The sequence below is a fragment of the Homo sapiens genome, chromosome 4 (assembly GCF_000001405.40).
Source record: "Homo sapiens chromosome 4, GRCh38.p14 Primary Assembly".
Classification (NCBI taxonomy): domain Eukaryota; kingdom Metazoa; phylum Chordata; class Mammalia; order Primates; family Hominidae; genus Homo; species Homo sapiens.
In genome coordinates, this window is record NC_000004.12 from 42304815 (window position 1) to 42331526 (window position 26712).

General features: G+C 43.8%; 1 long non-coding RNA gene across 1 annotated transcript in view, besides 5 other annotated features; it reads right to left on the reverse strand.

The window, feature by feature from the left end:
• LOC105374428 (uncharacterized) overlaps positions 1-26712 on the reverse strand; it is a 92257-nt gene that overhangs the window by 5803 nt on the left and 59742 nt on the right. The gene's annotated exons all lie outside the window — the stretch shown is intronic.
• Positions 5506-6011: an enhancer, noted in NCBI's record as "NANOG-H3K27ac hESC enhancer chr4:42312337-42312842 (GRCh37/hg19 assembly coordinates)". NCBI's record gives its function as "activates a minimal SCP1, AML or CMV promoter by ChIP-STARR-seq in naive H9 embryonic stem cells {active_cell/tissue: H9 hESC(naive)}" and the evidence as "EXISTENCE:reporter gene assay evidence [ECO:0000049][PMID:30033119]".
• Positions 8494-9693: an enhancer, noted in NCBI's record as "BRD4-independent group 4 enhancer chr4:42315325-42316524 (GRCh37/hg19 assembly coordinates)". NCBI's record gives its function as "activates an origin of replication core promoter dependent on BRD2, P300/CBP, MED14 and CDK7 cofactors, and independent of BRD4, by STARR-seq in HCT116 cells {active_cell/tissue: HCT116}" and the evidence as "EXISTENCE:reporter gene assay evidence [ECO:0000049][PMID:35650434]".
• Positions 10102-10649: an enhancer, noted in NCBI's record as "H3K27ac-H3K4me1 hESC enhancer chr4:42316933-42317480 (GRCh37/hg19 assembly coordinates)". NCBI's record gives its function as "activates a minimal SCP1, AML or CMV promoter by ChIP-STARR-seq in primed H9 embryonic stem cells {active_cell/tissue: H9 hESC(primed)}" and the evidence as "EXISTENCE:reporter gene assay evidence [ECO:0000049][PMID:30033119]".
• Positions 10650-11197: an enhancer, noted in NCBI's record as "H3K27ac-H3K4me1 hESC enhancer chr4:42317481-42318028 (GRCh37/hg19 assembly coordinates)". NCBI's record gives its function as "activates a minimal SCP1, AML or CMV promoter by ChIP-STARR-seq in primed H9 embryonic stem cells {active_cell/tissue: H9 hESC(primed)}" and the evidence as "EXISTENCE:reporter gene assay evidence [ECO:0000049][PMID:30033119]".
• Positions 16463-16512: an enhancer, noted in NCBI's record as "active region_21516". NCBI's record gives its function as "activates an Ori minimal core promoter by ATAC-STARR-seq in GM12878 lymphoblastoid cells {active_cell/tissue: GM12878}" and the evidence as "EXISTENCE:reporter gene assay evidence [ECO:0000049][PMID:35858748]".

Here is a 26712-nt window from a genome sequence, read left to right on the forward strand (position 1 = left end):
TAAATGATACGAGCACTCTAATTAGAGGGGTCCTCGTGGGACCAGGGAAGGATTCTGAGTGATGCCCATCAGATTCATTAGAGTTCGGATTTGTCTCCGGTTGGATAAGAATGTTGAATTTTTAGATGAGCAATTTTAAAGAGTGACTGTTATTACCCTTGTCACCATTATATTTTGATTATATGCTCTATAATTAGATGTTGAAAATGCTAATGCATATTAATACTTGATTGATTTGATTACCCATCATAATTATACTTTGATCACTTTTGATAAATATATTGATTCATTTTTTATTTACTTCACAGTATTCTTTGTATAACTGCTTTGATAATATCTGATTACATCTTAATATTTGATTGCTTTGAGTAGCTCTTGTTTTAACCGTTGGGAAGTTGGATCATATTAGCTATGATGAACCTACTAGTGGTTATGAGGGTAGATTTTACAGTAAAACATACCTGGGTTTGATGTTCCCCATTACTTATACTGTGTGACATTGGGTAGGTCACTTAACCTCTCTGGCCTTTAGTTTCCCCATCTCTAAAATGGAAGATGATAAAAGTTACTCATGAGGGTGCCTGGTGGATTAAATAAGATAATCATGTATTAGTAGGGTATTCTGGCTGGTCCCTAACTGACATTCTAGATAATTCTCATGTGTAGACGGATGATATCCCCTACTCCACCCAAATATCTATTTGCATGAGCTGATACACATTAAGGCTTTTTGTTGATGTTGTTTCAGGAGGGGGCTCAGGGAGAAGGGAGAAGTTGTTCTGGGTAGGGTGCTGATGAAGGGGAGAGGAAGAGAAGAGAAATGAAGGAGAGGCCATGTCGTGGGCTCCATTCTGCCATTCAGGCCACAAGGTCCAGGTGTTCAGAGTACAAGAGGGCCTGGCCAAAGGGACAAGTGGGCTGACATCTGGCCACAGGGTTGCATTTGCTTGGGTGGCATGAGTATCTTTTCTAATTCACACCGAGGAGCCATGAGAGCCGCTCAGAGGTGTCACATGAAAGAAGGACTCAGTTGAGACTCAGTAGAAATGAAAGAGAAGAGAGAGACTGAGCGCAAACCCTGAAGTTCCTATGTGTGTGGAGGGTTTTGTGAGACTCTAGGTACCAGAACAGCAGTTGAGGCCCGGGAGAGCCTCTTTTCCCCTAGTGCTGTAGTTTGTGCCCTGGATCCCACAGTGCTCTGTGGGAGATGGCTGTGCCTGGCGATCAGCCTTCTCATGGGATTTGGGGACATTAGTGTGTGTGTGTGTGTGTGTGTGTGTGTGCACGTGCACATGCTGAGAGGAGAGGAACATGGATGGTATGTGGGTGGCGGTGACCCTTAATTACTGTAATAGCTAGAAATTATAGAGCATTTAGCTCCAGGTACTTTGCCAAACACTTTATACACATTATCATTTTTAATGGTCACAACAACCCTGTGACAATTACCACTAGTACTTTTATTATCCCCAGTCTACAGATGGGAAATAGAGGCAAAGAGAAATTAAGGAACTTCTCCCGATGCTACAGAGAGTAGAGCTGGGATTTGAATCCAGACGGTCAGATGCCAGAGTCGCTACTTTTAGCCATGACGCCATATTTCCTCCTCATCAGGGAAACTGGAACTGTTCCTGACATGGGTGAGCCCCCTACTCCTATCCCTGGGGTCACCGGGAGCGGGGAGGAGCTCAACTGCTGCATAAGCCCATGATCCCCAACTCACTGAAATCTGTGTTAATGGGATACATCACTTCCTCAGCCTAGGGACACTGTGTTTTGGATATAAAGCATACTTGCCCAGGACCTGGCTCTGGCTTAGGACTCAGTAGAGAATTCTATTTTTAGTGTTCTGGATGATTGGCTTAGCAGTTCCTTTCTTGAGTCATGTTTTTACAGATGAGAACACAGAGAACCTCTTAGCCAAGTCAGTGCTCACTTTGACCTTCTGTTGAGCCTGTCCTTGTCTCTGACCCAAACTGAAGTCCACAGTGCAATGGGATGACCTGCCTTCTCTCCAGCTGGGGGGAGACTCAGGTGTGGGTAATGGTCCCCTGGCACTGGGCCACTGGAGAAGGAAGGCTATTAGCTGCCCATCTGCCGGCTGCTGTCACTGGCTGCTGTCCAAATGACCCACAAGCCCTGGGAACGTTCAATGACCAGACACAGCCATGTGCTCCTGGAACACCGGAGCGACCACCCCATACTGAAAGGACACCTTTCCAGAATCCCATATGAGTCCCCACACATTAGCAAGCCTCTTCTCTTAATCCTTCCTTCCTTTGCAGAAAACCGATGTACCTACATCTCATCCCTGAAACTGTGAGATATTATCTTTTCTTTTCCATCCCTCTATTTTATAACTTTTTGAGTATAGTACAGTAATATTTTTAATATGTTAGGGATTTCCAAAATTGAGATGTTACTTTTTTCATATATATATATATAAAGTTACATTTTTTGGTCATGCATGGATTTAAAAAAAAATCCTTCGAGGAAATAAAGTAAAATGCTAACAAGTCTGTGGGTGATGCGATTATGGGTTAATTTAATTTTCTTCTCTGTACTTCGCAGTAAGAATGTTCTGTTTTTAATGATATGAAAGGAAGTAGATTTTGTTTGTATGGGTTTTTTTTTTAGATTAGTTGCCTCTTTCAATATTTTTATTCTATCTAGTGCAAACTATAGTGCAACTTTATTTCAAGTAGGCATGGTATTTTTTTTTTTACTCCATTTTGCTCCCTAAAATTTCTCTAGGATGGATCTGTTCTGCTAAGGAGTAAGTGGACTAGAAACCAAAAGTACAGACTCAGGCAACTTCTCATACAGATGGAAAGAGCTTTGAACCAAGAGTCAGAAGGGTGAGTCCTCCTTCTGGCTCCACCAAACATTGAGCTCCTTGGTCTTTTTTTTTTTTTTTTTGAGACAGAGTCACACTCTGTCACCCAGGCTGGAGTTCAGTGGCGCGATCTCGGCTCACTGCAACCTCTGCCTCCCGGGTTCAAGCGTTTCTCCTGCCTCAGTCTCCCAAGTAGCTGGGATTGCAGGCGCGTGCCACCACGCCTGGCTAATTCTTGTATTTTTAGTAGAGATGGGGTTTCACCATGTTGGCCAGGCTGAACTCAAACTCCTGACCTCAAGCGATCCACCCACCTCGGCCTCCCAAAGTGCTGGGATTACAGGTGTGAGCCACCGTACCTGGCAGTCTTTTCATTGGTAAAGCCACTTAGACTCCATGGCCTCTGCCATCTCTTCCAGGCCTGAACCTCAGTGAATCTTTGCTGTCTTGTGGAAATCAGCTGGAAAATAGGGCAACAATTAGCCTACAGCTGACTTTGTTAGAATATAACGATTTAAATACTTGAAGATCCTGGTAGTTCAAATTAAGTATGAGAATGGTTCTTCTGGTGCTGAGCAAAGGAAGAAAACTGAAGTAGTAGCAATCTGGCTGGCTTTTCCTGGAACTGTACTTGACGTGTTTTTTTTTTTTTTGAGGTGGGGTCTCACTCTGTCACCCACGCTGGAGTGCAGTGGCACAATCATAGCTCACTGCAGCCTTGACATCCTGGGCTCAGATTTCTCTCTCCTCTTTTTATGTACACATATATGTATGTATGTATGTACACATACATACATATATTTATATATGTAAATTTTTCTGAACTATTTGGGAATAAGTTGCATACATCCAAAGCTGTTGCCCTGGCACTCAGTGCAGTCCAGTCCTGGCCTGGATGTCCCTCAAGCCTGGTGCCACATCTTCCCTCCCATCACTCCCACTGCCACCAGCACACCCTCAGACTCAGACCTAGCGTTTTTCCTCTCATCAGAAAGCCCTCCCTCTACCCACGCAGACCAGAACTCCACTGTACGTGCCCTTCCTTGGGTGTTAAAAAGAAGAGTATTTAATTTGATTGGCTCACTTGGGAGAAGAGGCCAGCTCCCGACTAGAGTGCAGTGGTGCGATCATAGCTCACTGCAACCTCAAACTCCCACCTCAGCCTCTCAAGTAGTTGGCACTACAGGCATGCGCCACCACACCTGGTTTTTTTTGTTTTTGTTTTTGTAGAGACCGATTTTCGTCATGTTGCCCAGGCTGGTCTTGAACTCCTAGACTCAAGCGATCTGTCCGCCTTTGTCTCCCAAAGTGCTGGGATTACACAGGTGAGCCACCATGCCTGGCCTACTTGGTTTTTTTTTTTTTTTTTGAGTTGGAGTCTTGCTCTGTTGCCCAGGCTGGAGTGCAGTGGCACAATCTTGGTTCACTGCAACCTCCGCTTGCTGGGTTCAAGTGATTCTCATGCCTCAGCCTCCTGAGTTGCTGGGATTACAGGTACCTGCCACCATGCCCGGCTAATTTTCATAGTTTTAGTGGAGATGGGATTTCACCATGTTGACCAGGCTGGTCTCTAACTCCTGACCTCAAGCGATCCGCTTGCCTTGCCTCGGCCTCCCAAAGTTCTGGGCTTACAGGTGTGAGCCGCCGTGCCCAGTCTAATTGGCATATTTGTAGAGAAGAACCCACATGGGATAGGAAGGAAAGAAGATGGTCTAGTGTCTACTACTAGTGTCTACAAGCCCATCCCATGTGGTCAATGGATGGGACACAAAAAATCAAAAACACGAAGAGGAAGCCAGAAATGTCTCCCAGCTGGGGAGAGTATAAAGCGTCATAGGCCCCTTTTCCCATTCATGGGGCTGTGTGGTAGGAACGCAACAGCAGCCTCCATGTATTCTGTGACAGTTAATTCATCAATTTTGTTTTCCTTTAGTTAAACTGTAAGTTTAAGGTAAATATTGATATTTTCTAAGATATAAAAGCAGTCACTCATCACAATGCATTTCAACAAAACCAAACAGTTTGGTGATCGAGACTCACAGAGATTTCTCCTAATTGGATAAAAAGATGAGGCCTGTGCTTTTTCATTTGCTTGATTAATTACTGCTCTGAAACCCTTGAAAACAGACATGGTCTGTAAGTGGTATCTGTTGTTTAATCGAGGACAGATGTTTTTGAAAACCTTTTAAATAGGCCTAGAGAGTTATTGACTCTGAAGTGAATCATTGAACTGTATGTTTTTTACAAGTAACATGCCAGCAAAAAATGATTTTTACTAATATTCAAGTTATAGTCACCATAATTGTGGTTTGTCCTAAACCTACCAGCATCTAGAAGCAGCTGCAAGATAATGGTAGTAAATGGCATCACCATCGACCCAGGGGACTAGGCTGAAAATCCAATAATCACTCACAACTTCTTCCTGCCTGTACTTCTCTCCCTCATTCCTGCTCTGTCCAAGCCCCGTTGTCATTCTCAAGTTCATTGCCTAAGAGCAGTATCTCTCCAGGTGTCTCCTGTGTCTGTTCCTACCACCGCTTATGTTAAGACAACTGTGATATGGCTTCGGTGACTGGAGGAGCACCAGGGTCCTTAGTCTCATGCTGATTTAGATAAAACAACACGGACACATATAGAGTGGTTTTAAGGAGCGGAGAGTTTAATAGGTAAGAAAGAAGGAAGAAGCTCCCCCATACAGAGACTGGAGGGGGGGCTCCAAGCCAAGAGAGGAAACCCCATGTGCCGCAGAAAAGTGGCTGCTTATATGAGTAGGCTGGAGGAGGTGGTGTCTGACTTGGGTAGGGCTCAGGGGATTGGTTTGACCAGGCATGTCATTCACGTAGCCTATGGAAAAACTGGCCCTCCCACCCTAGCCTTTTAATATGCAAATGCAGGGTGCCATGATGTTCTACACACGTGGAGATATGTGGGGGTGGTCATGTTGCCAGGCACATGTAGGGGCAAGGGCAAGAGGACAAGGGTGGGAATTGCCATGTTTGGGTGGACCCGGTTTCTAATGGCCTGCATTTGCATATCAAAGCTTGCCAGCCCGGCTCTAAGAGCTGGGGCTTTCCTGCTAGACAAGAAGCATTTCTGGAGCTGCTTTAAAAGAAACAAAAACTTCCCAAGGACCCCTTTTCCTCTCTATCTGCCTAAAATAATTTCTTAATAACTCCTATAACAACCGTATCTATTAGGCCTGGTAGAAAACTACATGCACCCCAGATGGGTGAAGTGAAGAGACTTTAATGAGGACACTATTTGAGAAGCGTAGCGGAGGAGAATGGAAAAGCAAGGAGCAGTGGGGCACCTGGGTGACAAGAAGAGTGATGCCCTTCCTACTCCTAGGGCTGGGGCAGTGGGAGGATACTGTGTTCCCAAGACCCAGTGAGGGCCAATGGAAGAGGCTATGGGCTGTGATCACCCAGTGGTTGCCATGGTCAAAGAGAGCATGTGGAAGAGGCTGTGGCCTGTGTAGCACCGAAGTTGGGGTGAAGGGATAAAAACACCAACCCTTCCTCCTCCTGTCTTCTAGTCTTGTCGGTACCTCCTACTGGCCAAACCCAACTGACACCAAAGGGCAAGGGAGCCCAGGAGATGCAGTCCTCAGGCTCCTCTCTCCTGCACTAAGCACCAAATGCTGGTGAGGGTGTGGAGCAATAGGATCTCTCATTCGTTGCTGGTGGGAATGCAAAAGGTAAAGCACTTTGGAAGACAGATTGTTTTTCACAGAGCTGAACGTGATCTTATCATACATTCCAGCAATCATACTCCTTGATATTTCTCCAGTGGGTTGAAAACTTACATCCACACAAAAATCCTCAGAGGAATGTTTCTAGCAGTTTTATCCATAATTGCTCAAACTTGATCACAACAGTTTCTCTGCACAGGGTAGGGCAGAGACAGCAGAGTGGGTCTGGAGGCTCAAATGAAGAATAACTAGCACAGCAATCACCCCCCTGCACTTGAACTATTGCAGTAGCCTCTTAAAGGCTTCCCTGCCTTCAGGCTTGTTTTCTCTCCTAAAGATTCTCCATAATGTGACAAGAATGCTCTTTCTAAAGCAAAAATCTCCAGGTCACTCCCTTCTTACAACCGTTGAGTGACTTCCCATTGCTCCCAGGATAAAATTAGTACTCCCCAGCATGGTGTCCAATGTCCTGTGAGCCGCATCTCTATCCACCCCACAATTCCTTTGCACTCCATACAATGCTGGGAACATGAACCTCTCTCTTATCACCCACCTTAGCCCCTGCTTAGCCACGCCCTCTGCCTGCAATATTTTTTTTATTCCATTGTGCCTTACTCTCCATGCCTTTTCCCCAGCTGGCTAAATTCTGCTCCCTCACCTTTTGTTTTGTTTGGTTTTTATTTTAAGACTGCATAGGTTTCTTCCCTTTTTTTTTTTTTTTTAGTTTTTAAATAGACTTTATTTTTTCTAGCAACTTTATTTTTTCTAGCAACTTTAGGTTTATAGAAAAATCAAGCAGGAAGTATAGAGTTCTCATGTTCTTCCTTTATACCCCCTCCACAGTTGTTGCACTTGTTATTAACATATTAGTGTGGTGGTACTGTAGCAGGACGAGCTGCAGACAAAACTCCTCAGACACTGAGTCAAAGAAGGAAGGGGTTTATTCGGCCGGGGGCATCGGCAAGACTCCTGTCTCAAGAGCCGTGCTCCCCAAGAGAGCAATTCCTGTCCCTTTTAAGGGCTCATAACTCTAAGGGGGTGCGCGTGAGAGGGTCGTGATCAATTGAGCAAGCAGGGGGTATGTGACTGGGGGCTGCATGCACTGGCAATTAGATCGGAACAAAACAGGATAGGGATTTTCACAGTGCTTTTTATACAATGTCTGTAATCTATAGATAACATAACCAATTAGGTCAGGGGTCAATCTTTAACTACCAGGCCCAGGGTGTGGTGCCGGACTGTCTGCTTGTGGATTTCACTTCTGCCTTTTAGTTTTTACTTTTTCTTTCTTTGGAGGCAGAAATTGGGCATAAGACAATATGAGGGGTGGTCTCCTCCCTTAGTACCTTTGTTACTATTGATGAATCAATATACGTTCTTATTAACCAAAGTCCATAGTTTACATTAGGGCTCACCCTTTATGTTGTATAGTTCTGTGGTTTTAATAAATGCATAATGTCAAGTATCCACCATTATAGCATCTTAAAGAATAGTTTCACTGCCCTAAAAATCCCGTGTTTAACCTGTTTCTCTAACCTTCCCTCCCCTTAAACCTGTGGCAACCACTGATTTTTTTTTTCAACTGTCTTCATAGTTTTGCCTTTTTCAGAGTGTCATATAGTTGCAGTCATACAGTATGTGTCTTTTTTCAGACTGGCTTCTTTCTTTTAGCAATATGCATGCATATCTTTCCATGGCTTGAAAACTCTTTTTTTATTGCCAATAATATTCCATGATATGGATGCACTTCAGTTTGTTTATCCATTCTCCTATTGAAGGACATCTTGGTTGCTTCCAAGTTTGAGCAATTATGGATACAGCTGCAATAAACATTTGTGTGAGGGTTTTTTAGGGGATTGTTAAGTTTTCAACCCATTTGGAGAAATACCAAGGAGTATGATTGCTAGAATGTATGGTAAGACCGTGTTCAGCTTTGCAAGAAATTGTCTGACTTCCAAAGTGCTGTACCATTTTGCATTCCCACCAGCAATGTGTGAGAGATCCCGTAGCTCCATATCCTCACCAGCATTTGGTGCTGGGTCTTGGATTTTGGCCATTCTAATGGGTGTTGTTACATATGAGTCCTAAATTTCTCTTCAAAGAATCAGTATGTCAATATGTTCAATTCTTTTCCTTCTACTTTTAAACTTAACTTCCTTGTAAAGCAACCTTTTTCGATTACCTGCTCCACCCTGACTCATTCCGATTACATGCTCCATCCTGACTCATTCAGATTACCTACTCCACCCTCACTCATTCAGATTACCTACTGCACCCTCACTCATTCCGATGACCTGCTCATTTTACACCCTGACACATTCTGATTTCCTGCTCTGCCATAACCATTTTTCCTGACAAACCACTCACTGCGTCACTCTCTTTAAATTAGTCAATCAGAATTAGTTTAGCCTGTGCGGTCTAACCCTAGCCAATAGGGGAATGACACAGCAGCAGGGGCCGTGTGAGTCAGGGATAAGAACCCCTTCCCCTCCCTTGTCCAAGTGTGGGCTCACCATTTCTCCATCTGTAAGGAAGCACCCTTCTATAGAAGTACATTGCCTTGCTGAGAATGAAAAAGAAAATGTTATAGTCAAGTGCTATTTCTTTTGTGGCACCAAAACTTTATTTATAACAATTTGAGGGCTCGCTGGGGATTACATTCCCCTCTGGGGGCGGTCTCTGGTTCTCTCTAGTGAGGCGGCGTGCCCCGCCCCCCTGTGGCGGTCTCAGCGGTGAGAAATCAGGACCCATGCAGTGCGAGGAATAACCCGAGCTCTCAGCAACGCGGAAAGAAACTTGCCAGCAACCTAGCTTAAAGGATCCTCACATACTACCGCGACGACTCTGCACAGACCAAGGAAGGAGCAGCTGTGGGAGCCGGTAAAGTACTTCCTTGGTGGTCAAATTCTGGAGGGCTAAAAATGTGCGTGTGTGAAAGATCACAAACAACCCTACTTGCAGTGTTGTTTGTGTGGATGGTGACAAGTCCTACTGCTGGACGGAGTGAGTGAGTCCTCTCTGTGGTTCCATAGCTACCTCATATGGCTTAGGGCAGATCCTGCCATTGGATTTATACTGGCATGCCAACACTAAGAGGGGCCTAATTCTCCCTTGGGAGAGCAGCCAGAGAGGACAACACAAGTAGGAAATGTACAAGTGACCTTTAGAGGGGGAAAGGGAGGAAACAGGTCAACCTTCCAGAGCAGCAAGGCAAGTCACCCCCTGGTTTTCTGTCTGGAATTGGTGGGTTCTTGGTGTCACTGACTTCAAGAATGAAGCCGTGGACCCTCGAAGTGAGTGTTACAGTTCTTAAAGATGGTGTGTCTGGAGTTGTTCGTTCCTCCTGTCCGGAGTTGTTCATTCCTCCCGGTGGGTTCGTGGTCTTGCTGGCTTCAGGAGTGAAGCTGCAGACCTTCGCAGTGAGTGTTACAGCTCTTAAAGGCAGCGCAGACCCAAAGAGTGAATAGCAGCAAGATTTATTTCGAAGAGCGAAAGAACAAAGCTTTCACAGCATGGAAGAGGACCCGAGCGGGTTGCCACTGCTGGCTCAGGTGGGAATAACCCTTATCTGGCCCCACCCACATCCTGCTGATTGGTCCATTTTACTGAGAGCCGATTGGTCCGTTTTACAGAGAGCTGATTGGTCCGTTTTGACAGAGTGCTGATTGGTGCGTTTACAAACCTTTAGCTAGACACAGAGTGCTGATTGGTGCATTTTCAATCCTTTAGCTGGACAAGTTCTCCAAGTCCCCACCAGATTAGCTAGACACAGAGCGCCAATTGGTGCGTTTACCAACCTTTAGCTAGAGGCAGAGTGCTGATTGTTGCATTTACAATCCTTTAGCTAGACAGAAAAGTTCTCCAAGTCCCCACCCGACCCAGAAGTCCAGCCGGCTTCACCTCTCAATGGCACTCGCTGGGGTACTTTGTGGCACCTAGCTCGGGCACTCCTGCAGCCCAGAGGGAGCTCGTCCCCAGATCAAGCCCAGCAGGCGCCCACCGGCCGCACCGACTGCGGGGCCCACTTAGCCCGTGCCCACCTGGAACCTGCGCCGGCCCACAAGGGCCGTGTGCAGCCCCGGCTCCTGGTGCCTCTCCCTCCACACCTCCCCGCGAGCAGAGGGAGCCGACTCTGGCCTCAGCCAGCCCGAGAGAGGGGCCCCCACAGCGCAGCGGCGGGATGAGGGGCTCCTGGAGCGTGGCCAGAGCAACACCGAGGCCTAGGAGACGCCGAGAGCGAGCGAGGGCTACTAGCACGTTGTCACCTCTCAGTTTGAGGGATTGAGCCTTCCGGGGCAGGCAAGGAGAGCCATCCCTGGTTTGAGGGGTTGAGCCTTCCACAAATTTCAGGGGGTTGAACCTCACAGAAACCTCTGCTAGTAAGAAGGATATTCAGAACTCCCTTTCCTTTCTTCTCAAGGGAAGAAAGAGTAGCTCCACTTCCACCGGTCCCTCCCCTAGGGAAAGGGGAAGGAGAGGGGAGAACAACAGCATAAGCAGCTGGCAGAGGCAGGGAAAGACCAGCAAAGAGGAAAGAGAAACTGAGAGAGGAAGTTAGAGAGAAAGACAAAGAGACAGAGTCAAAGAGAGAGAGAAAGAGAGAGGCAGAGAGAGAAAAAGACAAAGAGGGAGTCAGAGAGAGAGAAAGACAGAGACAGAGAGAGTCAAAGAGAGAGAGAGAGAGAAGTAGTAAAGAGTGTATCGTATTCTTTTAAAAGCCAGGGTAAATTTAAAACCATAATTAATAATTGAAGGTCTTCTCCATGACCTTATAACTCTCCAAAACCACCTTGTTGTCAGTGTAAACAAGGGTGTAGCCCAAAAGCACTGAGGCCACTGACAACCTGTAGCTTTCCAAATCAAAAATCCTTAACCCAGTAAACCCGTGGATGGCCCAAATGCATTCAATCTGTAGCAGCAACTGCTTTGCTAACAGAAGAAAGTAGAACAATAACTTTTAGAGGAACTCTCATTGTGAGAACACCTCCTCAGGTCAGAACTATTCTAAGTCAAAACAAAACAAAACAAACAAACAAACAAAAAAAGCAAAAAGGTAGCTTCCTGACTCAAGAACCTTAAAGTATGAGGCTATTCTGTTAGAAAAAGATGATTTAACATTAACCACTGAAAATTCCCTTAACCCATCAGGTTTCCTAAATCTTAATCTAAATCAGGATCTAAATCTTAATTACCATACAAAGGTCTGATCAGATCTAGGAGGAACTCCCTTCAGGACAGGACGATAGATGGTTCCTCCTGGGTGATTGAGGGAAAAAAGACACAATGGGTATTCGGTAAGTGATAAGGAAACTCTTGTAGAAGCAGAGTTAGGAAAATTGCCTAATAATTGGTCTGCTCAAATGTGTGAGCTGTTTGCACTCAGCCAAGCCTTAAAGTACTTACAGAATCAGGAAGGAGCCATCTATACCAATTCTAAGTAAATATGGATTGAACAAGGTCTTATTAATAGCAAAGAATAATTGAAATCTCAAACTTACAAGGTTTTCAACAAAAGTTTGCTGAAAGTTAACAGTGTAACATGTATTATCCTAACTTCTAATCTTGTGGCCTTAGACAGTCTACTCCACAGACATGAAGGAAGTTCACTTTGGAAAAGAGTGGTTATCATCTTTGAGAAAAAAAAAGGCCAGCGGGGGTTGTGGGGGGTGGAGAATTTATGTAAAGAGGAATGTTACATGGTAAATTCTTGTCCTAAAATAAATTAACTGTTTGTTTAAAGAAAGGGATGTTTGCAACAAATCAGAAAGTTGAGACATGTCGAAGAAGTGTCTGTGAAAGTCATGAGAAAAAAAAAGTTATAAAAGGGAATTTATGCAAGAAATATTGTATAATGTAAAAGTAATTAGGCCTCCTGAATGTAAAACTATTGAAGAAACAGTTTATGTGCAAGGCGTGTAAGGAAAGTAAAATATCCCTTTGGTAAAAGGGTTATAAAGAGGCATAAGAATGTGGATTTTTACCTACATTAAAAGGTTAAAAAATATTTTGTTTTAAAGGTTTAAGCAAGTTTTGAAACGTTAATTGTAAAGGAAATTCTGAGTGTAAACATATTGGCTAAAGTTAAAGGGGTATCCAGTTTTTCTGTGAACTGGACATTAAAATAAAAGCACAACAGGTTTTTCTCTAACCTGCTCTTTAACAAAAATTATAAAAGGTTAAAAAGAGTCTACAAAAATCTTACTTTATGGTCAGACATTAAAAATTGGATAAATATGTCTACAAGCTTTTATTAAAATTAAGTTATTAATAACACTAATATAAAGGTGAAATTTAGCTTATCTGGTATAAAATAATACAGGATGCATTGTCAAATATAAAATGGTGTTTGGCTTTCTTTGGTCTAAAAACTAGTAAAAATAGGTGCTAAAGGAAATTTCTTAGTAAGAAGGCACCAAGGACTATAAAGTCCACTGCTGATGTCCCCACATTTAAAACAAAAGATCAATTTCTTAGAAATTATATAGCTGGTTTATCTTCCACTTTCCTTTCCCTCAAAACTAAAAGTCTTTTAGCACGGATACCACCCCTAGAACTTCTGGTAAACCAGTGCCAGCCTGAGGATCACGTTCTCATCAAAGGGTGGAAAGAAGGAAAACTTGAGCCAGCCTGAGAAGGACCCTACCTTGTGCTGCTGACCACCGAGACTGCTGTTCGTACACCGGAAAGGGGATGGACTCATCACACCCGAGTCAAGAAAGTGCAGCCCCCTCCAGAGACGTGGGCCATAGTCCCAGGGAAAAGCCTACCAAACTAAAGCTAAGAAAAATTTAACTCTCTTCTATTCTATTAATCCTTCTTCTTTCCTCACTCTATTGCTGACCATCTAACTATTAACATAACCAAGTCAATTTCACCTCAAACTATTGCATTTGATGCTTGCCTTGTTATACCCTGTGGGGGCTTGTCAAGTCAAAGACAGCTCTCTACTTCAGAAAAGTACCTCTGTCCCTCCTGACTCTCCTCAGACTGGACATTAGTGAATTGGGACCATTTAATCTGGGGAGATTTTGATAAAGACCCCAGTGTCAACCAGCAGTCTTGCCCCCTGATGTAGAGCTTTTGTGCCATAGTCGATCCAATGTTCTGTGACCACTGAAGAGCAAGGGTGGACTGCTCCAACTGATTTTTGTAATTTCCTAAAACCATACATTCATTTTACTAGAGGGACAGCCCCCACCACCGCCACCCCTCTGCCAACTGTCAGCTAAACCAGTGCAATCCTATGCAGGTTATTATCTCAAACCCTCTAAGTTCTTCCCCTTTTCTAAGCCAGTTCCCTTCTTTAAGCTAGTTTTATGGTATGGGGGCTGAGGTTTCAGGGACAGAACCTAATGGATTCTTTGAAATGCATTTCTTTGATCCCCTGCCACCTGCACCTTCCTCTAAGCCTTCTTCCAAAACCTCTCACAATGAAACAATTGCTCCTCCTCCATCTAACGACAAGACCAAAATAGCTATTGTAGAAGTTAAAGACTTAAAACAAACTTTGGCAATTAAGACAGGATACCAAGATGCAAATGCCTGGTTGAAATGGATCAAATATTCCATCTACACGTTAAAAGCAATTGTTATGCTTGTGCACACGGCAGTCCAGAGGCCCAGATTGTCCTCTTTCCACTAGGGTGGTCCTCCAGTAGACCGGGTGTGGGCTGCATGGTAGCTCTTTTCCAGGATTCTACAGCCTGGAGTAACAAGTTGTGCCACTCTCTCTCTCTGCTATATCCCAAAGTCTGGCACCCTGCGGGTCAGCCCCTGAGGGCCATCCAGCTTCCATCTCCCAACACTAAGTTCACTTCATGTCTCCCACAACAGGGAGAAAACTTAGCGTTCCTTGGAGACCTGAAGGGATGCAGTGAGCTTAAGAATTTTCAACAGCTTATCAATCAGTCAGCCCTTGTTCATCCCTGAGTGGAGGTGTGGTGGTATTGTGGTGGACCTTTACTGGACACTCTGGCCAATAACTGGAGTGGCACTTGTGCTTTAGTCCAATTGGCTATCCCTTTCACCCTGGCATTTCATCAACCAGAGGAAGGAAAAATAAGACATCATAAAGCGAGAGAAGCCCCTCATGTGTCTTTCGACTCTCACGTCTATTTAAATGCAATTGGAGTTCCATGGGGAATACCAGATCAATTTAAATCCCGAAATCAAATAGCTGCAGGATTTGAGTCAATATTTTGGTGGGTGACAATTAATAAAAATGTATATTGGATAAACTACATCTACTACAACAACAGCAATTTATTAACTACACTAGAGATGCTGTTAAAGGAATAGCTGAGCAATTAGGGGCTACTAGCCAGATGGCTTGGGAAAATAGGATAGCCTTAGACATGATATTAGCAGAAAGAGGAGGAGTTTGCATCGTGATTAAAACTCAACGTTGTATCTTCATCCCAAACAACACTGCCCCTGATGGAAGTATAACAAAGGCATTGCAAGGTCTGACTGCTCTGTCCAATGAGTTAGCCAACAACTCAGGGGAAAATGACCCCTTTACAGGATGGCTAGAAAAGTGGTTTGGTAGATGGAAAAGAATAATAGCCTCGATTCTTACTTCCCTCGCAGCCATAATGGGTGTACTTATTCTTGTCAGGTGCTGTGTCACACCATGCATCTGTGGGTTGGTGCAAAGGCTCATAAAAACGGCACTTACTAAAACCTCCCTTAACTATCCTCCACCTTATCCAGAGAAGCTTCTTCTTTTGGAAAATCAAGCAGAACAACTAAGCCAAGACATGTTAAAGAAGTTTGAAGAGAAAGCGCTATAAGGAAATGCAAGAAGACAAATTGTTAGATATGAGTTCTAAATTTCTCTTCCAAGAAATTTGTCAGTATGTTCAATTCTTTGCCTTCTACTTTTAAACTTAACTTCCTCGTAAAGCAACATTTTTCGATTACCTACTCCACCCTGACTCATTCCGATTACCTGCTCATTCTCCACCCTGACTCATTCCAATTTCCTGCTCTGCCATAACCAGTTTTCCTGCCAAACCACTCACCCCATCACTCTCTTTAAATCAGCCAATTGGAATTAGTTTGTCTGTGCGGTCTAACCCTAGCCAATAGGGGAATGACACAGCAGCAGGGGCCATGTGAGTCAGGGATAAGAACCCCTTCCCCTACCTTGTCCAAGTGCATGCTTGCCCTTGCTGTATCTGAAAGGGCACACCCTTCTATAGAAGTACATTGCCTTGCTGAGAATTAAAAAGAAAATTTTATATTTGAGTGCTATTTCTTTTTTTTGCTTTTCTTTTCTTTTGCATTTTTTTTTTTTTGAGATGGAGTCTCGCTCTGTCGCCCAGGCTGGAGTGCAGTGGCACGATCTCGGCTCACTGCAAGCTCCGCCTCCAGGATTCACGCCATTCTCCTGCCTCAGCCTTCTGAGTAGCTGGGACTACAGGTGCCCGCCACCACGCCTGGCTAATTTTTTGTATTTTTAGTAGAGACAGGGTTTCACTGTGTTAGCCAGGATGGTCTCGATCTCCTGACGTCTTGATCCACCCGCCTTGGCCTCCCAAAGTGCTGGGGTTACAGGCGTGAGCCACTGCACAGGGCCTTTGAGTGCTATTTCTAATGCAGCACCGAAACTTTATTTATAACAGTGTGCAGTGGTGTCTCCTTGTTGTTTTAATGTTTCAGTTCCCTAATGACATATGCCATTGAACATCTTTTCATTTGCTTAGGTGCCACTTCTGCTCCAGTTTTAACGGCTTAGTTGATGCTTTCTGCAGGAAAGCTCTCTCCCCCATTGTGTCAGATAGCCTTTGCTGTGTAATAGATGACTTCAAAACTTGGTAGCTGAAAATAGCAATCATATATCTGTGGGTCACGTGGAGTTCAGCTGATTAGGCAGGGTTGCGCTGGTTGGCCCAGCTTTGGGCTTGTGGGTCTCCTGGGTCTGCTGGGTCTGCTAGGTGACTCTGTTCCATAGGCCTCCAACCTTCTTTAAGCGTATCTGCCATCATATGTTCTCACGACAAAGGCAGAGGCACAACAGGGTGAGTGGAAACATGACATTTCTTAAAGTCTGGACTCACTGAGACATACCTGCAATTAGTTACAGTAAGTCACAGGGCCAACTCCAAATTCAAGGGGCAGTATGAGGCCATAGCAAGGATGTGGATGCATGATGGGGACGAGAGAAGAATTAAGACCAACAAGTCAATCCACCACAGTGCACTACTTTGATCATAACTTTCCTCTAACATGCAAATGTCCTTACCCCCAACCCAGGGTCCCAAAGGGCTTGATTGGATCTGCAGGATGTCATGGAGACCTGTAGACTAAAATGGCAAGTCGTTTGCACCTTAAATACCCAACACTCAGAGGCAGAACAGGAAGGAAATAACCAAAATAAAAACTTCCATCTCACATTCTCCTATTTCTTTTCACATGCCACTGGTCACAGCAAGTCACATGGCCAAAACTAAAGCCAAGGGATACTCATGATGAGGCCATGACACAGTAGGGATACAGAATTGGGGACAATACTTTACCCCAGTATAAACAGAAATGGAAGGATGGTTGTTCTTCCATTTATATCATCTGCCTTGACCACCACTTCTGAAACGGGCTTTAGAAAAATGCCCTTTTTTTCATCTGAGCAAGTTTCTCAGAATGCTTTCAGCCTGGAAAAAGCTGGGGGCTCAGAGGTCTTTTTACATTTCAAAGAGCCACAGTCCTTTATATTCAAGGCCAGAAGTATTTTTGTCAATAATACTTTCGAAAAAACTTTCTGAGTTTTACAAATTAAAAACAAGGAATTTTAAAAGTGGCAAGAAAACACATTTTTTTTTGTTGCCCTAGAAAGGTGAGCTAAAGGAACAAATTTTTCTTAATGACTATCTAAAAAAACAATTTTGAAGATGTGGTCAAAAAGATTGAATAGGAATGTATCCCATACATATTTCCTTATAGATAGTTTTACGGATAAGTAATTCAAGATTTGGACCAAAATATATATAAACTAATGTATAACAAATATTAGCTTGGTAGTAGTGTATTGAAATTGATATTTTAATTTCCCCAAATCTTTGTGAGGATGGCAGATTAAACAGGGTGTTTTTCAGTGAAAATATAATTTGTATATTTAGTGGTTAATGCATAACTTTTGAGAAAGTCTTTTTCAAAGACTTGTACATTGAGAAAGTGAATGATTATGATGTCTGAGTTCAACCTTTATGCAAGTCTGATGGTTTCTAATTGTTCGTATTTTAAAAAATTGTAATAGGATTTATTTGAGTTTTAAATTGATGGAACTTTTAAAATTAAAGATGATAAATGCTTATTCTGTGATTTTAGCATTTTCCTAAGAAGAGGTTCAAAGAACTGAGTGATGTAGACGAGACCAAATTCCTTCCATTTTCATTTACTTACATATAAGGACACAATTTCTCAGCACAAACAAGAAAACAGAAGGAATAAAATTTGGGGAAAATCCTTTATGAGTTTTTTTTGTCTTTATTTTATTTTAAGTTCTGGGGTACATGTGCAGGATGTGCAGATTTGTTACATAGGTAAATGTGAGCCATAGTCACCTAGGTGTTAAGCCGGGTAGGCATTAGCTATTTTTCCTGATGCCATCATGAGTTTTAACGTATTTTATTCTAGTCTACCCATGTGTCAAAATTCATTTGGGATATACCTCTCTGTGTGTCTGTCACTCCATAGTTGCTATTAATTGGGGTATAACAGGTTGTCGTGGGACTATGCCTTTAAGTTTTCTAGGTACCTGGTTGCACAGCTGGAAGGCTTTCCTAGACCAGGGCTACTCAAAGACGTAACATCAGCATCACCTGGGAGCCAGTTCAAAGTACAAGCTCTTGGGCCTTTTCCTGTAACTGTGGAATCGGAATCTCTGGAGGTGGTGCTTGGGTATCTGTGTTAACAAGCCTCTGGATGATTCTGAAGCACGCAAAAGTTTGAGAAATGACAGGGTACTATCTTATTTCTCCTGGAGTCTGGTCTTTAACCTGGGGACTTGGCTTAACTGGCAGTGCCCTGGGTTGGTTGTTTCCAAGCTGTATCTTAATGGCCACACCTTGACTTGGTCTTTGTCTCTGCACTGTATTTTATTTGGGAGTCTTTTACTGGCTCGAAGGGCTGGGGATAAAAAACAGTTCTATTTTCCAACCCAGCTAGTTTGGACTCTGTGTATTCCCTCTAAATTCTGCTTGCAAGCTAACCAGTTCTCCTCTAAGCTATACTATATCATATGTGATGAAGTCTTCCAATTGTAACCTTCTGCCTGGCAATCTTCTTGCTCAAGTTCATAGGTTCATTAGGCACATTTTCTATCTTTCAGGTTAGCTCAGGTGACAATTTTACCAGATATTTTGTCACTACATAACATAGGTCACAATTTTCCTGCCTCCTATAACTGTTTCCTTTCTTCAGCCTCTATCTGCCTCCTAGGCCCAAAACCAATACCACATATTTTAGGATTTTGCTGTGGTACCAATTTCTGTAAACGTTTGATATTGCTGAATAATAAACCACTCCAAAACTTGTGGCTTAAAACAATAATTACTTATGACTGCTCACAGGTCCATGGGTTGACTGGGGTTCTGCTGAAAGGCTGGGTGGCTCTGCTCCAGGACATGGTGGCTGCAGTGCCACTGCAGGCCCGGGTGGCTCCACTCCTTAGAGCAGTGGGCAAGCCAGGGCATGTTCTCATTGCCATGGTAAAGGTGCAAGAAGACAAGTGGAAATATGTGATGCTTCTGAAGTCCTAGGCTCAGAACTGGCCTCCTCTCGCTTCTGCCCACGTGTCACTGGCCATAGCATGTCACATAATCAAGCCCAAAGCCATGATGAAGCCATGACAAAGGTATAAATGCAGGCAAGTGTAAAGAATTAGGAACAATACTTTAATCTGGAATCCTCCCCAACATAAAAATAGAGTCTCTTCTACGTGTTATCATACATTTTTAAACGTACACTCCCAGAACATTTCTGTCATTGTCTCAGAAAAGCAGACAATTGTGCCTCCAGAACCTAGACGGTGCCTGAGGCACAGTAGATATTCAATAAATACCTGCTGAACAAGTGACTGACTGCATAAGTGAATGAATGCATTCCTGATGGATAGTTTGCCAAGTTAGATCTGTAGAGACCAAGAATTAAGGGATGATTTGGCTGACAAAAACAAGAAATGGGGAAAGGATTCCCTATTTAATAAATGGTGCTGGGGAAACTGGCTGGCCATATGTAGAAAGCTGAAACTGGATCCCTTCCTTACACCTGATACAAAAATTAAGTCAGGATGGATTAAAGACTTAAATGTTAGACCTAAAACCATAAAAACCCTAGAAGAAAACCTAGGCAATACCATTCAGGACATAGGCATGGGCAAGGACTTCATGTCTAAAACACCAAAAGCAATAGCAACAACAGCCAAAATTGACAAATGGGATCTAATAAAACTAAAGAGCTTCTGCACAGCAAAAGAAACTACCATCAGAGTGAACAGGCAACCTACAGAATGGGAGAAAATTTTTGCCATCTATCCATCTGACAAAGGGCTAATATCCAGAATCTACAAATAACTTAAACAAATTTACAAGAAAAAAACAACCCCATCAAAAAGTGGGCAAAGGATATGAGCAGACACTTCTCAAAAGAAGACATTTATGCAGCCAAGAGACACGTGAAAAAATGCTCACTACTGGTCATTAGAGAAATGCAAATCAAAACCACAATGAGATACCATCTCACACCAGTTAGAATGGCGATCATTAAAAAGTCAGGAAACAACAGGTGCTGGAGAGGATGTGGAGAAATAGGAATGCTTTTACACTGTTGGTGGGAGTGTAAACTAGTTCAACCATTGTGGAAGATAGTGTGGCGATTCCTCAAGGATCTAGAACTAGAAATACCATTTGACCCAGCCATCCCATTACTGGGTATATACCCATAGGATTATAAATCATGCTACTCTAAAGACACATGCACACGTATGTTTACTGCAGCACTATTCACAACAGCAAAAACTTGGAACCAACCCAAATGTCCAACAATGATAGACTGGATTAAGAAAATGTAGCACACATACACCATGGAATACTATGCAACCATAAAAAAGGATGAGTTCATGTCCCTTTGCAGGGACATGGATGAAGCTGGAAACCATCATTCTGAGCAAACTATCACAAGGACAGAAAACGAAACACCGCATGTTCTCACTCATAGATGGGAATTGAACAGTGAGAACACTTGGACATGGTGGGGAGCATCACACACAGGGGCCTGTCATGGGCTCGGGGGCAGGGGGAGGGATAGCATTAGGAGAAATACCTAATGTAAATGACGAGTTAATGGGTGCAGGAAACAAACATGGCACATGTATACCTATGTAACAAACCTGCACGTTGTGCACATGTACCCTAGAACTTAAAGTATAATTAAAAAAATAAGTTAAAGCAATAAACAGTATTCAAGTATACTAAAAAAAAAAAAGGAATGGTTTGGAATCTTGTCTGGACGTTTAATTCAAACCTTCAAGCTTTTCATCAGTATGTCTTCTTAGGAAAATAAAAGCTTACCTTTGTGTTTGGACTTCATAGGAGCAAAGCAATGCTTAGCATTTGGAAGACAACATAAACTAAAAAAGAGTAATAAAGGAAAAAAAATGGAACCAAAGGGAAATTGCCGAGAAGGAAGAGCTGATGAAATACCTATGGGGGATTTCATGCTACTTTATTTTTCTCAAACTCTTTCTTTGAAGGGATGAGTGAGGGAGTTCTAAGTGGCCGTCCCATGGGCGCCCAGCCCACCACTGCATGTGTTTTGTAATCAGAGCCAAGAATCAAGTGGAGAGAAGGTAGCACTGTAGTAAAACCTCCCTGCGCAATCTTGTTGGCAGGCTGTGTGACAACCTCAGTGAAGTGCATGGGACGGTCTGATGTTGGCTGACCTTGTTCACACCTTTCTTCTGTCTGTGCTCATGGTCTGGCTGTTGCTGCACATGACAATGGCAATATTTCTCCCCTTCAGAACTCGCTTCTCTGCTCTACTTTTCCAGAATTTTATTTTTACAAATATGTTGCAGTGCTTGGGACTAAAAGGAGAGAGAAATACAAGAAAGGGAGGAGGGAGGGAGGGAGGGAGGGACGGAAGGAAGGAAGGAAAGTTAGGACAAAGAAACGAAGGAAGGATAAAGGAAGGACAAAGCAAGGAGGAAAAATGAAGGAAGGACGGAAAGAAGGAAAGAAGGATGAAGAAAGAATGGAAGGAAGGAAGGACAGAGGAAGGAAGGAGGAAGGAGGGAATGTTGAAGGAAAGAAGGAAGGGAGGAAGGAAGAAGGAAGGAAGGAGGAACAAGGGAAGGAAGGAGGGATGGAAGGAAGGATGAATGAAGGAAGGAAGAAAGGGAAAGGGAAAGAAAGGGAAAGAAAGAAAGGAAAGAAGAAAGGAAGGAAGAAAGAAAGAAAAAGAGAAAGAAAGAAAGAAACAAAGAAAGAAGAAAGAAAGAATCTGGAGAAGGGCTCTGGGAGACCTCGGCATTATGGGAGTAGTAACTTGCCCTGTTTTTTCTTCTGTGCATAGGCTGCTCAGAGGTCATACGCAAATCTTGGGCCTGGTGTGGTGGCTCATGCCTGTAATCCCAGCACTTTGGGAGGCAGAGGCAGGCGGATCACCTGAAGTCAGGAGTTCGAGACCAGCCTGGCCAACATGGTGCTCCGTCTCTACTAAAAATACAAAAATCAGCTTGGCGTGGTGGCGTGCACCTGTAATCCCAGTTACTTGGGAGACTGAGGCAGGAGAATCACTTGAACCCGGGAGGCGGAGATTGCAGTGAGCCGAGATCATGCCACCGCACTCCAGCCTGGGTGACAGAATGAGACTCCGTCTCAAAAAATAAATAAAAACAAAACAAATCTGGGGCCATGCCTGAGAAGATTCCATCTGGGCACTTGTGGCTGGTGTCAAACTCATCTTAAAACAAGCCTTTGCCTCGAGCCCTATGCCTATTCTCAAGAATAGCTGGCTCCCTTTTCCTGCCTGGGTTTCAGTGCTGTTGGAACCAGCTCAGGACCCACAGACTCTAAACTCCACAGCAGAGCAGTTTTTGAGCCTGGTGAGGTGGGAGGGTAATGAGAAGTTGTTAATCTAAGGCAGTGACCTTTCCCTGCAAGTGTGGAAATGCTCATCGGAGGACTCCTCCTGCCTGGGATAAGGCCTGTCAGCAGGACAGCAAGCAGATGCATGGAGGAGGAGACGGGCTTCGGTGAAAGGCCATGCCCGCAGCCTTCCCAGAGGCCCTTACAGATCATGGCTCTCAGGCAGCCCAGGGAACCTCAGGCTCAAAGGCTATCAGGGTTTCAGTCTCCTCAGTTTTCCCTTGAAATAGGATGGCCATTGTGGGGCTTAGAATGAGGGGATGTTTGGAATGAAACCCTTTTAGAACACACCACCAGGGCTGAGATGTGTGTTAACTGCTTGGCCCATAGAAAAGGTAGGCTTCGCCTGGGCTGCATTTCAGGAGGCCTGAGAACCTCCGGATACAGCCTCTGCCTCAGCGGGTGCCAAGTTCTAGATTAAGTTTCTGCCTTTTGGGACTGTAGGACTGAAGAGAGTTCTTGACCACAGATGATTGACACACTCAGAGAGTAAAAAATATCCACACTGCCAGAGCAGCTAGTTGCCAGCTTTACGCAATTTTATTTAACCAACCAGCACTAGCTATGAGACAGACCCTTTTCTAAGTGTTTTATACATTTTAACTCCTATTGTATCAACCTCCTGTGCTATCTATCCCATTGTATAGATAAGGAAGCTGAGGCACAGAGAGGTTGAGTAACTTGGCCCAGGTAACGCAGCCTGGAAGAGGTGCTACCAGGCAATCTAGTGTTCTAATCTCATTCTAAGTCTTTTCTAATCATCACACTCTGCTGTCCCTCCATGTTTACCACTGGATAGAATATGGAGTGAAGACATAGAAAGTCCAACAGAAGTCCTTCTGTGGCTCTGGCTTTCAGAGCTGCAACTTTTGGTGTCATCTGACAGATGCACAGAGCATTACAAAAGCAGCCACAGCTTGAGCACTGAAGGCTTGCTTTTTGGAGGCTCAGCACACTCTAAGTCCTCCTGCTGAGTAAAAGGGTGCCAGGCACAGTCTAATTTGGTCACACTTTGGGGGAGCAAATACCTAAGCACTTTGGAGCTGGTGGATTTATCTGCAGGGATTGCAGGGATGCCTGGTGTGGGGATTTGCACAAACCCAAAACACGAACCCCCAGATGGCAAATACATGCTTAATGCTCATTAAAGAGATGGGCTGCTTGAAGGAATTCCTCCATTTCTTGCAAAAGGCAACTCGTATGATGGAAAAAACACAAGTTTTGGAGTCAGAGACTCAGCTGTGTGACCTTGGGTAAGTAATTTATCTCTCCAAGCCTGGTTTCCTTGTCTGCAGAATGGAGTGGATAATACCTTCTCACAGGGTGTTTATTTTTTATTTTTTTATTGAGACGGAGTTTAGTTTTGCTCTTGTTGCCAAGACTGGAGTGCAATGGCGTGATCTCAGCTCACTGCAACCTCTGCCTCCTGGGTTCAAGAGAATCTCCTGCCTCAGCCTCCTGAGTAGCTGGGATTACAGGCAGCCACCACCATGCCCAGCTAATTTTTTTTGTATTTTTGGTAGAGATGGGGTTTCACCATGCTGGCCAGGCTCTTCTTGAACTCTTGACCTCAGGTGATCCACCCGCCTCGGCCTCCCTAAGTGCTGGAATTACAGGTGTGAGCCACCACACCCAGCCCTTATAGGGTGTTTATAGAGGCTGAAGGAGATAATATACAGCTAATCTGGATGGGTCAAACCATTGACTAAGAGAAGGGACATTCCCAGAGGATGCACCATATGGAGGTTAGGAATCAGGAGGTGTGCTCTGGGATGGGCACATTCCCTTGAGAGCTGAAGATGAGCTCCCTGGCTGAGTGGTGCAGCTGAAAGTTCAGGGACTTAGGAGTCAGTCAGCTCTGGGTTCAATTCTTACCTCTATCCCTTATGGGTGACCTTGGAGAATCACCTAAGCTTTCTCAATTCAGCTTTTTCACTAATAAAATTGGAATTTTGACGCACGTCTCTTAGGACTGTCAACATTTGATGTGCTAATGAATGTAGAGAGTGTTAAAATAAAGCTAGCTTTCTCTAACCTTATAGGCTATAGCTTTATGAGTCAGCTAGCAGTCATGATATTCATCTCCCAAGGTCTGCAACAGATAAACATCTATCCCAGTGTTCACTGGACCCTTTATTGCTATTATTTTTAACTATAAACCTTGTTAAATCACTTATAGTTACACAAGGAGGGAAGGGAATGACAGTGACTGGACCCCATTGGAGAATCACTCTAGTAGCCAAACAGTGGGGGAGCTTTTCCAGTTTCCCCTTTGTTAACGTCATTCCTACATATTGACATGTACTTAACCTTTGTAATGTGACTTGGCAAGGCTAGGTTTTGAGGAGGACAGAGTTTTCTTCCAGGAAAGTCTCTCTTCCCTTCTCTCCCATCTTTCTCTCTGTAAAATCACCTCTTGACAACACCCACCAGTTTTGACTCAATGGTGGGCCACTTTTATTCAAAGAATACAAGGATCTCTAGTGGGTCCCTGAATGAGTTTTAAATGGGGTGTATGACACCCCTGAAATGGTGTTACATTTCCTCAGTTAGGGGGTCCACACAGTCACAAGGCTCCACGACCCTCCCTCCCACACAAAGGTTAAGAAACATTGTTCTGAGAGAAGAACGATGCAGAAATGCTACTCCATTTGGGGCCTAAGCACAATTTATTTCCGCAAAAGGATGGGAGGCAGATTTCCTTGGAACTTTTCCCGCTTTCCCTAACACAGAAGTTGTAGCAGTAAAAAAGATGTAAATCTTTTGTGCAGTTTCTTTCCCTAAGTATTTATCTTTGCTTTCTGGGGAGGAAGTCCTGTGTCTTTAGCTCCTCTGTGTCACTGAACCCCCATCTCTGGACCTGTCCACAGAGCAGGTAAACTTGCCTTTTCTAGAAGACCTTTGTCCTTGAAACCCTTAACTTGTTGATGGATGTTGTCATTAAAAGTCCGCAGCTGAGCAGAAGCCCTCCTGGACTCTGAGTTATGGAGTCTCCAAGCCTCTGTGAGCTGGTGACTGGTTAGGTGGCGCTGGGTGACCCCATGAACTTCCCTTACTACTGCAAACAGCCTTGCCCAACATGCACGAGCACCAGATGTCAGAAACCTAGTTGTGCCATTTAGTTTCTTCTTGTTTAGTTTCTAGAGGGTCCTAATTTGTGGCTTTTAAAGTAATTTGTCCCAAAACAAGCACCGTAGACTGATCGACTCTCTTGGGTATTTGTTTCCCATAAATCCAGCTCTCCTTAGATGAGCTTCAACTTGGATTGGAAAGAGAATTTGTTTAGTTATGCTGGGCTGTAGGCACTAAATTGGGCCGTATTGTCACTTCTCTTTGGTAATATAAACAAGCCCACAGACTGCTCACTCTCGTCAGTGACTGTAATCGGTCAAGTCTGCTTGCTGTGCTATAATTCAGAAGGAAAAAGTCCGATAACTTAGTCTGAGCTTCACCTTTCATGAGCCATCAGTTCATACATCACCTATGACATAAAAAGGGCCTCATTCCCACAGAGTTAGCCCCAGAAGGTTTTTCCCGGTGTTAAGTTCTTAAAAATAGCATCTGTGCTTAGGACATTATTCTCCAAAATTTTACACAAGTGCCAATGATTCTACTATATCAGCCTTGCAGGATAATTCCTCAGGGCTCCTTCTGTTTATTTAGGCCAGAGTGAATATTCAAGAACATAATATTTTGCAGGTCAATCTTTTATTGCTCAATCCAACCTACAGTATGCACCACACCTTGAATACCAGTCAACAGGGCTCTGAGGATAAAGGTTCACCTGCTTGTCATTTAGAACATTAATCATTTGACACATATTTTATTGGGTATCTACTCTTTGCCAGGCACAGTATCAGAATGGGGGCTAACGCAGAGAAGAGGATGGGCAAGGCTCTTGGTCTTCTGAAGCTTCTATTTGTATGAAGAAGATGGACCAAACATATAAAATAGTAATGGATAGATAGTAGAACTATGAAGGAAATAGCTAAGATGGTGTAATAAAGATTAATGAAGATGAGGATGGTCAGTGAATGGGT